The 13,828-nt window shown below is 36.9% G+C and overlaps 1 long non-coding RNA gene across 1 annotated transcript in view; it reads right to left on the minus strand.

The window, feature by feature from the left end:
• Positions 1-637: 637 nt before the first annotated feature.
• LINC02302 (long intergenic non-protein coding RNA 2302) overlaps positions 638-13,828 on the minus strand; it is a 35,970-nt gene continuing 22,779 nt past the window's right edge. The window contains exons 3-5 of the long non-coding RNA NR_146457.1: positions 5,476-5,610; positions 3,700-3,815; positions 638-1,978 (exon numbers count right to left, since the gene is read on the minus strand). This is a non-coding gene — a long non-coding RNA (long intergenic non-protein coding RNA 2302). The remainder of the gene's footprint in view (positions 1,979-3,699; positions 3,816-5,475; positions 5,611-13,828) is intronic.

Below are 13,828 nucleotides of genomic sequence, written 5' to 3' on the forward strand. Positions count from 1 at the left end.
GCCAATAGGATGGCCTAAAGTAATGTGAGAGCCGTTTAAGCCAGTTGCCTTCTACTTCTTCTTTCCCCCTTTATTAGGTATGGAACTCAGGTGTGTTAGTGATGAACCAGCTTAGAACAGGCAGCCAAGGTTAACACTAGACTGTGGAGCAGTGAGTGAGAAAATGCCTGAGTCCATGAGATGACCTGTGGAGTGGTCCCACCTTGACACACTGGATTGTCTTCCAACTCAGACTTTTGTATCAGAGAAAAATTTCCAATTTTATTTAAGCCATTTTTATTTTGATCTAAAAGTACCCAACTAACATCCTAATTAACAAAATATTATAAACTAATTTATTTTAGGACTGTCCTGCTTTTTATTTATTTCAGATCACTTAAAATGTCAGCATGTGCCTGGTAAATGTCTCTGTTAAAATACAAAATCTACTCCAGGGATGCATTAGAGAAAAATTTTGAAAACTCATTTGGTAATTGCATTTCACTGCCCATCAGTTAATCTGCTTATATATTCATGCATCCTGAGAGACAATTTACTGAATTAAATCCTTGGAGCTCAAAGTCAGTTACTTAAAAACAAAATGTAATTTTTTTTCCAAACAACAACTTGAAATTAAAATTTTAGGCCTCCCAATTTTGCTTTTATCTATTTATTGTTAGTGTTACATAAAAATAAAATTATGTTACTAACACAATAGTATAGCAAACATACAAGGTATTTATCAGCCATAAACACTAATGAAATAGCAAAATGTCTGTTTGTTGGGAATTTTGCTTCAACCACATCAAGAACTCACAGTGCATGCCATCATTCCTTTAGTCTTCATTATTCAAACAGTGTTCACGACAACATTATCAGTGAAGTAAAAACAAGGCTTATAACTCTATACTGGTAAGATTCACTTTATAATTATTGACTGGCTTTTGTTGTTTATTTTTCTCTTGTGTTACTCACTGGGAGTGAAATAAGAAAGAAATTTCACCAGAAGGCTTAGAATAGAAATGTGGTTACCAGTGCTGAAAGTGGGGTGGGGAGTGAAATAAGATGATGTTGGTCAGAGTACAAACCTGCAGATGAAGTAAGTTCTGGAGACTTACTGTAAAGTATGATGACTATAGTTAATCATAATGTATTGTATACTTAAAATTTGCTAAGAAAGCAAATCTTAAGTATTCTCAGCACACATAAAAAAGGTAATTATGTGAGGTAATGGACATGCTAATTAGTTTGATTGTGGTAATCATTTCACAATGTATATGTATATCAAAACATCTTGTTGGACACCTTGAATATATATAATTTTTATTTGTCAATTATACCTCAATAAAGCTGGAGGGGAAAAAACAGAAAAAGATGATCCTGAATTATGACATAACATTGTTATCTTCCCCGTGGCTTTTCTTTGTTCATTTAGTCTTGCATCCATTTATTGTTTCATTCAACAAACCTTTATTGAGTGATGTGTGAGCCTGGGAGATATAACAATAAATAAGATACATTCCCCCCTCCAAGGATGCTAATAGACTCAGAGAAATAGGTAAAGGAAATAATGAAAGGAGTGGATGAAGAAAATGCCAATCCCCAGAATTTCTTTGGGGAAGGACACTGCTTTGCGGGGAAGAAGAACATTGTTATGCCACATTTGGGTGATGGGTATGACTCCCAAATTTCATGCTTCAATTTTTTGGGTTATAAAGAGCATGTGTCCCGCTAACTGATTAAATTAGTAATGCAAATATGGAGCTGCAGCAGGACTGGTTTCTTATGTATAACAGAGAGCACAAGCAAAAAAGAGGTTGCTTTTGACTACCAGATCTCTTTAACAGGCCTTTTCTGGAATATAGTGAGAAGTTCAGACTGGAAGGCAGAAATCAAACACAGTGAGGGGCAAGAAGTGGAAAGAGATCAAGAAGTCTTGGTAGGTTGGTCCTAAATTGTGACAAGTCTTCTGCGCTATGTCCCGCAGTTTAATTTTACCCTAGAGAGAATAGAATTTTGAGAATGTTACAGGGTTTTCTGCAGTGACAGCAATCAAAATGAGATTACGAAGTAGACTGGACATAAGCAGCACACTTTGGTGTCACTGTCTCCCATCACCCTCAGATGGGACCGTCTAGTTGCAGGAAAACAAGCTCAGGGCTCCCACTGAGTCTACATTATGGAGTTGTATAACTATTTTGTTACATATTACAATGCAATAATAATAATAGAAATATGGTGCACAACAAATGTAATCCGCTTGAATCATCCAGAAACCATTCCCCCAAACTCTGCCCACCCCTGATCTGTGGAAAAATTGTCTTCCATGAAACTGGTCCCTGGTGCCAAAACGGTTGGGGACTGCTGATCTAAATCACTGTGGTGTACCTCATCTATAACACGTAAATACAAGCCTTTCCTGAAATTCTTCTATGAAAGTTTTACAGTGAAATAACTTAGGTATTGGTAAAAGGAAAAATAACGATTGTAAATAAACAAACCAAATTGATTTATTTCTCAAAGTCAGATGAGTTTCAATCTTGTTAGCCACCCAACACAGTTTCGTTCTTATCTAGGAAAACCATTTTCATTTGTCACAGGTTCTAAAATACAAACAATATGCATATATAATTGGGTATTATTATTGCTACCCGTATTAATAAATTTTGCTAAAAATACCTTTTACAGATTATTTCTATCATAATTACAACTTAATTTTTAGTATAAAAGAACTTCTTATAATTACTATAAATTTTGTTTTATGTTGGAAGTTATTTACATATTTGCAATTGTTATATTTTTTATTTATAGAATTTTTTAAATTTTAAAGAAGTGGTAGGTAGTATGGATATCTTTCAGCAATAAGGATACAATTGCAACTATAAGGTATAATGGGAATTTTTAATTAGTGAAAAAAATATTTTCAAGTTAAACTTCTCTGAAATACAGCATGATTTTTTTTAGCTGTAGGACCTTATAAATGAGTCATAAAAACCTTGTAAAACCTGAGGAAGGATAATGGTTTTCCCAAATCATCTTCAATTATTAGTGAGCTGTTCCAATTTTGTAATTCCAGTCTCAAGGAATGAGCTCATCCAGTTTGGAGTTACCAGGTTAGCTGTATGCACATCCAGCACCTGTGAAAACAGGATTTAATGCAGCTTCCCTGACCATCCAACCTTCCTAAGCAGGGTAGAAAAAAAACAAACTAACATGATTCAAGTTATGTTGTTTCAGATTACCTACAAAAAAAAAAAAAATGCTTCATTTTGTTTTGAGAGGCACCTGCTTCAGGCAGATCTCTCAGACTTCTCTACTCCTATTGGTTTTCTCCCCCTTAATTTCTTGTTCTTGCCTTTTTCCCGACTGGCTCATCTCTTTTCATGAGCAAAGGTAGCAGCAAAATCACATCAATAGCATCCACTAACAGTCTGATCTTTGAAGTGCACTGTGCCCCCGGCTTCAGAGATCCAGAGACCTGGTAAATCCATTTCCCTGACATCCACCTCTCCTAGAGTTGCCAGGTGATAGCTTTTAGCCCATTTCCTGGCAGAAATCAGTGGGACAGGGCAACCAAGGAGAGTTGAAAATAAAAGAGAGGAAAAGGTCTTCACTCAGGTGAAGGATTACATTTTACCAAATCCCTTTTTGTTAGCTTATCAAGCATTTTTGTCTCACTGAGTGGGAGCCCAGATGCTGTTAAGGCCAACAATATCTCACCTTCTTTCCATGCTCCCTATTCCTCTTGGCAACTACTGTCTTTGATTGTGTCCCCAAGGGCTTTGTTTTAGAGCTGGGGTGCAAAGAAGCACTTGCTGGCTTGGAGATGGAGAGAGCTGGAAAAGAGGAAAAAATGAAGACCACTGGGAACAGGTAGAGCATTTTTTTCATATGAGATTTGTGAAGATTATAGCTAAGGGGCTTATATGGAGAACTGTTTAAGAGAGCATTTCTAGGCCCAGGCAACAAAGTGTGACAGTCAGCAGAAAAGAAGAAAGAAGTTAGACTTCCCACCTCAACAGAGCATCCAGGGATTCTCTGGCATGCCAAGGAAGCACTTTGAGACACCATTCTTGACATGGATATTGGCATTCTGAAAATAGGCACAGTCGGTGGGAAGCCTTCCCCAAATGGCACACTGGACTGTGGATGTCTCAGGGTCTCATAGAAGTAACTAGTGGGCATTAGGAAGCGGCTAATTGGGGGCAACTTGTCAGTAAGGTTTCTAACTACCATAATTTGGTTATTAAAAGTAAGTGTAATCATATTTTATGGCCACAGACTTTGTGAATCTGGGATATCATGCTATATAACTACATGTGGACTTATTTCCCAATTAGCATCCGTTGATGTGTTGATGTCATTTAGCAATACAGATAGCTATTTTTTTCTGACTTCATTCTGGGCTTCATCTTTAAAATCATAATAATTTAATAAAAATTATTGTCTTACAAAATGACTGAATTCCAGGGTTTTCTAGGGCAAGTGGTGGTGAGGCCAAAATAGTGGCCATAGTAAGGTCATTTTTGCAAAAGTTTTAGCAAATGTCAAACTCAATTTAAGACCAAATGTCAAACTCAAACTAAGAGGCAAGGATGGAATTGAGGAATAAAGCCATATCATTACCCAGGTATCAGAACAGAAGCCTTTGGATGCCCAGTGAAGGGTCAGGATACAATAGCCAAAGGCAGTAAATGGCAGAGGCAAATGAGCAGAGGAGACAGGAATTTAAAAGACTCAGGCCTGTCCAATCTAACTGCTGGGTACAGCACTTTATAGCCAAGGTAGTTGTTAAGAATACACTTTATCAGGCACCTATTAGAATGGCTTAAAACTATTGTCTTTTACATGAGACTTTGTGTCTCATGACCCTTGTGACAGAGGGCTGTATGCACCCTTGCCTAGTTTTATGAGGATGCTGCTTACTACACGATATAATTTAAAGATATGTTGAACTTGGTTCCCTGACCCAAAATATCAACCCTATCAAAGAAAAGTAAGTGGTTAGTGATTATCAGCCAAGGCCCTGGTTCTTCGAGATGAGCAGCCACTACTGCTCTCTGAAACAATTAAACTTAATATTTACTGACTCGTGAGGACAGACCAGATCAATATCTTCAAGTTTTGTGGGCAGTGGGCTGTAACTCTGCCCTAGGAGCCAGAGAAGTCAGTGGTAGATACACTCTGTAAAAGGCAGAAGGCCATTCTTTGGTCAAAACTATATCAGTAATGAGATATACAACCAAATATCAAAAGTAAGGGCAGGGGATCAAGTTCAGAACAGAGCAGAAGCTGCTACTACTGGTTTTGTTGACTCAGCTCTGCAAGGAGCGCCTTTCACCCCCAGGAAGTTGATTGTTATCTGGAAACCAGAGAGAGGGACATGCTGATAGGAAAGGACTATGCTACATCATTTTGCCTAGGGTTGACCCTCAAATTACTTATTTTCTTTAAAAAGGGAGGAGGGCAGGGCCTTAGCCCCTAAATGACACTTACGGCTTTTAGAAGTGATCTAATAAATCATGGCTGCGCTTGGTGGCTCATGCCTGTAATCCCAGCACTTTGGAAGGCAGGCAGATCACTTGAGCCAAGAAGTTCGAGATCAGCTTGGGCAACATGGCAAAACCTCGTCTATAAAATTAAAAAAAAAAAAATTGTGAAACAGAGTCAAAACTAGGTAAACCAAATGCACAAACTTTCCATTCTTAAAATATATCCAAAGATATCTGTAGAAGTTAAAAATAAAGTCAAAGAAATTATCTGGGATAAATTTTTTTAAAAAATTGTACTGAACCACTTAAACAGTCAAGGAAGATTTATTCAAGATGACTGCAATAGGAGAGAGAGACTATTATAACAGGGGAGAAAAATTGAACTCAACTCCACTGAAACAAAAGGCAGGAGGATTTGTAAATGCTGGAGCGAGCTAACGGAAAAGTTCTGACAGACATTAGTGGAGCTGTTGGTCAACATGATTAGGCCATCTGTGTTTACTAATTGTTGCTTATAGAAGTTAGGCTCCTACCCTCCCACAGCTAGACAAGAATTCTAGCTTTCTTGATGATTAAATTTCAAAGTGTCCTAGGTCCTTGAGAAAAATATTTCTGGATTGTAGAAGATTTACATATCAAAGGGACAGAGAAAGAATTTATAAGTTTTCTGAGCAAATGTTTTAAGAAGAGGGAGAACAGGAACCTATGGTCAGTAAGAAGCCTGTTTAAAGTTTAGTCAAGCTGAGGGAATGTTAAGGTAGGGAAAGAATATGCTTAGAACTATTTGCATCTGATGCAATAAAGATCCCCCCCTCCTTTTTCCTGGTTCAGATTCTATTTTGCAGGTTAATTGCTTCAATGAAAGATTATTCATAAGGCAAATGGCAATCATACTAAACTCCTCTTTGCAAACGCTATTTTCCACTTTCAATTTTATGTGTTTTCCACTTACAATTTCAACATTAAACATACATTTAATGTTTAAACTGATAGTAAGTACTTTCACACCTAGGTTAATTTTTCAAAAGGTGAAGATCTCAAGTTTAATCACCCACAGTTGGCCACTGGAAAATCTTTTCTGCAAAGGATATTATATGTAGGAAGCTTCTGACTCAACTGGCATCTCAACTTAAAACTTACACTTCCTTCACATGTGTATCAGTCACCTGTCATGCAGTGGGTCTAGAGAGCAGGAATGAAAGATTTCTGACAACTGTTCTAACAAAAACATAATGAAATTCTTCTGATGAATCCCATTTTAACATGTCATGGCATCAGATTGACGGGTCCAGAAATTCATTTGGTTACTGGAGCTTTGCAGGGGGAAATGAGGTCTGAGAAAACCAGCTGATAAAAAAGCACAGCAAAGGTCGAACAAATCAGAGAAATGATCAGCCAAATGAGCTGCAAAATTATTTATTTGCTTGTAAAAAAGAAATTAGCCATACTTTGTCATATATAACCAATACCTGTCTTACTTGATGGAACACACAATTGCCCACAAAAAGAAACAAGGTAGGGGTACTCATGTGTGCAGCCTCGGGGGGGACTACTGGATTTTTAACAATCTGAAAACACTGGAGACATACTGAGAGCCAAAATAATTAGGAAATCATTGTTGATTGAATCCAGTATCTTGTCTGATGGGGCTTCCAGCTTGTTAAGGTGGTTATTACACAACAGGGAATGAAAGCACTGAGTCCAAGTTCATTTGGTTATTAGGTTTCTACTTATAGTTCATGTCCATCAGAATGTTCCTATGCTTACCTTGCTATTTCATCCTCCTGCTTTCAAGATAATCCCTTTCCTCTCTAAACGAACATTAAAGACCTGCTTGCTTCTCTTGGCTAACTTTAATCTTACACTATTTTCTTGCATGTTTCTTTCCCCTACAATATGGATTGCCATTAAAACTCTTGTTCTTCAGTGAGAACACATGGACACAGGGAGGGGAACATCACACACCGGGGCCTGTCAGGGGGTGAAGGGCTAGGGGAGAGATAGCATTAGAGAAATACCTAATGTAGATGATGGGTTGATGGGTGCAGCAAACCACCATGGCACATGTATACCTATGTAACAAACCTGCATGTTATGCACATGTATCCCAGAACTTAAAGTATAATAATTAAAAAAAAAAAAGACTCTTGTTCTCTTTCTACGCACAGATCATCACTGTTCTAAACACAGGAAATTCATACTCTATGTGCTGTGTTCCATCCATAGAACAAGAGAGTACATATACCCACTCCTTTGTCCACTAATCCAGTATGGTACAGATGTGAGATGCAGCTTTATAGAGCCCAGTGAAGAGAGTTGCTTCTCCTCTCCTCAGTGTGGTGCTTACTCTATGTTTCAGTTCAGCATACTTTTGACATCTTGATTTGGTGCTGACAACCAGTGGCATTTTTCTCACATAATTACGAGTGACTATAATCCTCCAAAAGAGAGCAAAATACACTGTAAATGACCAAAGACATACTAAGTGTGTATACTATAGAGGGAGGGAGATCTTCGACAAGCAACATTAAAACAGAAACAAACCGGGTGTTGTTGTTTTTTTTAACTGTTCATTTTAAAATAACAAAAAGGAAGTTATAAAACTTGTTCATAGGCTCCCTTGCACCCTTAAACTAATTTCCCCCAAAAGTGACATCTTATAAAACTGTACTACAATATCAAAACCAGGAAATCGACATTGGTAAAATGCTGTCAGCTACACTATTATCTAGACTACAGAATTTATTTTCACCATTTTTACATTCATATGTTTATGTGTGTTTGTGTGCGTATGTATAATTCTACAAAATTTTTCCCACGTATAGATTCATGAAACCACTGCTACAACCAAAGTACAAATCTGTTCTATCAGCACAAAGGAACTGCTTCATGCTACCCATTTATATTTGTACCACCCATCCACCACACATTTTCCCTATCCTATTCCCTGGAACAACTAGTCTGTTCTCCGCCTCCATAATTATATAAATTGTAATCATATCAACCTAACCTTTTGAGATTGACCTTTTTCACTAAGAATAATACCTTGATATCCATCCAGGTTGTTGCCTGTATCAGTAATCTGTTCCTTTTATTGCTGAGTGGTATTTCATTGTATGGATGTGCCAGAGTTTGTTTAATCATTAAATCTCTGAAGGATATTTGGGTTGTTTCCAGTTTTTACTATTACAAATAAAACTGCTATGAAAATTCATCAATACATTTTTGTGTAAACATAGGTTTTCATTTCCCTGGGATAAATGCCCAAGAGTGCAATTGCTGGACCATATGGTAAGTGCATGTTTAGCTTTGTAAGAAACTGTCATATTATTTTCCAGAGTGGCTGTACTATTTTACATTCCAACCAGCAATATATGAGAGATGTAGTTTCTCCACATTATTATCTATATTTGGTATCATCACTATCTTTTATTTTAGCTGTTCTAATAGGTTTATAGTGCTATCTCCTGTGGTCAGAATGTATTTTTATACAATATGTTCCCATTAATAAGTTACAGCCTTCTACATTTCCCCATTGCTCATCGTTATAGATGCACTTCACATCCACAAGCCTACAGTTTTCTCTTCTCTCTCCTACACAATCTTCTCCTTCTACAGACATACAACAAATACTCTGTAAAACAGCCTTCCATTTTGTTCTTATCTTTAATCTAAACTCTAGAATGTTGTAAGACTAGCTAGACAAGTGAAACTGACTTGACTTGCATTTAGGAATGAGAAAGCAAAGTCAAGTGCCTGAAGACTCCATAAAGTATGCACCTCATGGGTCTGATTTTTTTAATCAAATACAGGATTTCAGAGTCAGAAACTGTAGAGACTGCTTCCCATAGTCAGGCTAGTAGCTATGGATTCTATGTCCTATCAAAAAAGTGAGGTTCATTATATTCCAGGAGCTAATCTGGGACTGAGAAATTGAACTAATTTTATTTGTTCAGATAAAGGACTAATGAAGATACGAGATCTAGCTGTGGTGAAATCAAAACAGACACAAAGATTTGATTTTCATGGCTCCTGAGTAACCCAGGAAATCAATTACCTGCTGTGCTATCAAGGAGACCTTTGTGGCTATAGCAGCCCCAATTACTGGTACTTGAGCTCATACCATATATCTTAAATGAAAAGTCTTCAGTGCAATCTACCCATTTGTTTTTACTGTCTTAACAATGTATCACCATGGGATCAGTAAGGTTGCAGAACTAGTTTTGATTGAAAAAATAATTTTGAAGTACAGAAGAACTGGCATCTGTTTTCTATATCACATATAAATACTTTTATAATATTCAACATACTGCTCAAAAATCCAGATAAATTTATCCAGTAAAAAAAAATTATTTAAAAACCTGTGTTCTGAAATTCCTCAAGGTTTTATTATTCAGGAAGAAGGCAGGGAAAAGTGTGAGCACATCCATCAGTGGTTTTAAATCAGAAAAATAATGAATCTTATGCTGAGTACCACTTTGGCAGAGTTAAAAAGAAAAAAAGTCATGAAAAGGTGAAAAAGAAAAGGTGATAATGAAGGTACCATTTCAAATTGGAAACAACTAAAAGAAAGATTTTTAGATTTGGAAAAAAACATAACTGGATCAAAATATTTATATCAAAGAAAAAATCCTAGTCAATGAGCTAATATCTGCTTTCCTAAGAATAGAGCTTAAAACTTAGTAATATGGGTTGTCAATATAGAGTTTGCTGTGTAACAAACAACATGATCTCATTTGAAACCTGATACTCAAAATCAATTCAAACAGATTGGGAACAATTTTGTTATTTTTAAAATTATGTGTGCATGTGCATATGCACTCATTACTGATCTTATAGCCAATCTCAAGTCTCACTTGACACATCACATCTGGCAATTAGGAAACTGGTGAAGTTGTATTACTCTGTATCACTACATTACAAACAGGCAAGGATAAACTTCAGAACTTCAAGAACATAATTGTTAGAGAAAGAGAAATGTCGGGCATGGGTGGGAGAGTGGGAGATAGCTTCAAAAAAGAAGCAAGAAAAACATTGTGTCTTCAAGGAAGATACGTTTTTTTCTCCAGAATTATAAAATATGCTAATCCCAAGAGGATAAACTCCAAAGGTATCATATGATGCCATCTTAACCAACCAACATCATCCATCTTGCTGTTATTAGACTATCACCATGCTCAAGCTGAGATCTTTTAAATAGCATTTAATAGTCTTAAAATTACAGAATTAAAAATTAAAGCTCAGTTACACTTAAAAACTAGGGCTCTACTTTGGGAGGCCGAGGCGGGCGGATCACGAGGTCAGGAGATGGAGACCATCCTGGCTAACATGGTGAAACCCCGTCTCTACTAAAAATACAAAAAATTAGCAGGGCGTGGTGGCGGGCACCGGTAGTCCCAGCTACTCTGGAGGCTGAGGCAGGAGAATGGCGTGAACTCGGGAGGCGGAGCTTGCAGTGAGCCAAGATGGCGCCACTGCACTCCAGCCTGGGCGACAGTGCGAGACTCCATCTCAAAAAAAAAAAAAAAAAATTAGAGCTCATTTAATTCTAAATATGTATTTTTATATATATCTTAAGATATTTGGTTGCAATTATAAAGCATGATTTGAGGACTGACATTTTTCCCTAAAGTATAAATTTAGGAAAACTAAATACAAGTTTTCTTTCTGAATTTCGTAGAGAAAGAAAAGAAAATTTCCTTCAGTGGCTTGGCTGAATTCTACTATTCATGTGTCTAAGGCAGCATGACACCACTTGGATCATTTTTCTTCCAGTAGTTGACTTGTGAAAGTTTGAGGATAAAGTAGAGATCCATATAGGCACCCAAGACCCAAATGTTTCACATTGTTTATTGACAGTGAACTTCAGAGATGCACAATATCACTGATAACTCTGAGAACAGAGTACTTCAGTTATCTATTTCTGGTTTGTTTGGGGTTTTTGAGGAATATGCTGAAAGATTCAATGTGATCATGTGCTCAAATTTATTAAAGTGGAAATTCATGTTTCCTATTTCTATGCATTTTGTTACTTTGAAGTGATGGGTTTCTATATTGACTGAAAAGTTTCTTCACATAATTATCCTAAACCGTAAGTGGCACCTTAACCTTTACAGTCAAAATGTTGAGAGATAGATATTGGAAACTTGTACTAAAAGATAGTGCTGGTGAGACAAGTAGAACAGCCTGCAATTAATATAATTTTTCACTCCCTTCAGATAAGATGTTAGTAGTAAAATTAAGAGAACCATAAAACTGTTATGATGATGACTTTATTTAAAAAGAAAAATGGCATTATGCTGATATTTAAAGCATTATCATAGAAGACTACTTTATTACAAATATATATACCCCTTTAGGCATTGTTCTTTTAGCTGTCCTAGGCTATTGATCAGCCAAACTAATAAGTCTGAACTGTTTTCTAATTCCTGTGTAAAGATGAAGGTATTGAAAACTTAGCATGAATACTAAAGAAGAAATATATGCACTAGGGAAAACGCACCTGTGCATTGCTATTCTCTGTCTGACTCTCTAACTGCCACCATTAATATTTTTTGTGTTTCTCACAGCTGTCAGGACGTGCTGGCTTCTGCTTTATTCTCAGCTCTTAAACACATCTTTTCAAGTTACATGGTTTGCATGCTAATGTTCAACCAAGGCATATTATTCAGTCTAATTTTGATCTTATCAAACATAGGACAAGGATTTTAAATGCAAGAACCATTCATACTAATTAGAAGAACTATTTAACAGCCAGTCTTAGGCTTCTGAAAGACTAAGGCAAAAATTTAAAATGAGCCTCAAAATTAAAATAATAGCAATAGCATAGAAATTTTTTAAATGTTCACATTTGTTTATTTTTTGTTTTAAATCCAATTGAGTGCTATTTTCAAATAATCAGAAATGTGAGACTATTCCATTTATACAAGATATGATCAAAGAGTTTCAAGTCGAATACTGTCTTAGAAATCATTTAGCACAACTCCATAATTTCATGAATGAAGAAGCCTGGAGAGCATGGAGAAGTTTGCAGTCTTTCCCGAAGTCACACTGTGACCTAACGACAGAGTCAAGACTTAAAATCATACTGCTCTGTCTCCCACCATACAAGATAAGCTGAGATCAAACAGAAAAAAATGCTAAAGCATTTTTAAAATCAAAGCACTTAAGAGATATTTTTAAATTGCTTGTTTGATGTAGAATTTCTATTCAAGTCAAAATGATCAAATTTCCTTATAAGTCTTTTAGTCCTCCTTTTTAATCAGAAGTGATCCCATCGCCTCTACTAGATGCTGTGGTGGGAGTTCTCACATTTACCCTGTCAGAAGAACTGCAATTGATCAACATGCCACTTCTCAAAATCTCACACTATCCTGGTGTGGCCTTTTTCCACTTTATTTGGAATATTGATTGACTCAATGCTTAATAGAGGCATAGCTCTCCAAAGCAAACATTCCTTAGGAGACACAACTTGACTCACTCAAATGAATATTTGGACTATTAACTAGCTCACCATTATTTCAATGATTTAGCCTACCTGTAGGCTTACAGCCTACCCATAGGCTATCCACACAAAGTACATATTTAGGCCAGGCGCAGTTGCACATGCCTATAATCCCAGCACTTTGGGAGGCCAAGGTGGGATCACTGAGGTCGGGAGTTAAAGGCCAGCCTGGCCAACATGGTGAAACCCCGTCTGTCTAAAAATACAAAAATTAGCCAGGCGTGGTGGTTGGTGCCTGTAATCCCAGCTACCAAGGAGGCTGAGGCAGGAGAATTACTTGAACCCAGGAGGCAGAGGCTGCAGTGAGCCGAGATTGCACCACTGCACTCCAGCCTGGGTGACAGAGCAAGACACGTTCTCAAAAAAGAACTCTATAAAGTACACATTTGGGTTTCCAAGTGCACAGCCCTCTACAATCTTGAAACCCATGTTCTCACTTACAAGTGGGAGCTAAATAATGTGTACCCATGGACATAGAAAGTGGAATAATAGACTCTGGAGATTTGAAAAGGTTGGGGGAGGAGGAAAGTGAGGGATAAGAAATTACCAAATGGATATAGTGTACATAATTTGGGTGATGGTTATACTAAAAGCCTAGACTTCGCCATTAAGCAATATATCCATATAATAAATCTGAACTTGTACCACCTAAATCTATAAAAATGAAAAATATATAATTTTTTAAATGATCAAATCTGAAGGCCATACTGAGCATACCTGCTGCTTTCATCATATGGAAGAGTCCACACGCACAAGAGAAGGAAACAGATGAGGTAGGCCTGCTTTGAAGAAGTTCCCAAAGATGTTCAAATTAGTCATTTTATCTGTTGAATATGCTAAGTAGATTGTTAAT

This window comes from Homo sapiens, chromosome 14 (genome assembly GCF_000001405.40).
Source record: "Homo sapiens chromosome 14, GRCh38.p14 Primary Assembly".
Taxonomy (NCBI): domain Eukaryota; kingdom Metazoa; phylum Chordata; class Mammalia; order Primates; family Hominidae; genus Homo; species Homo sapiens.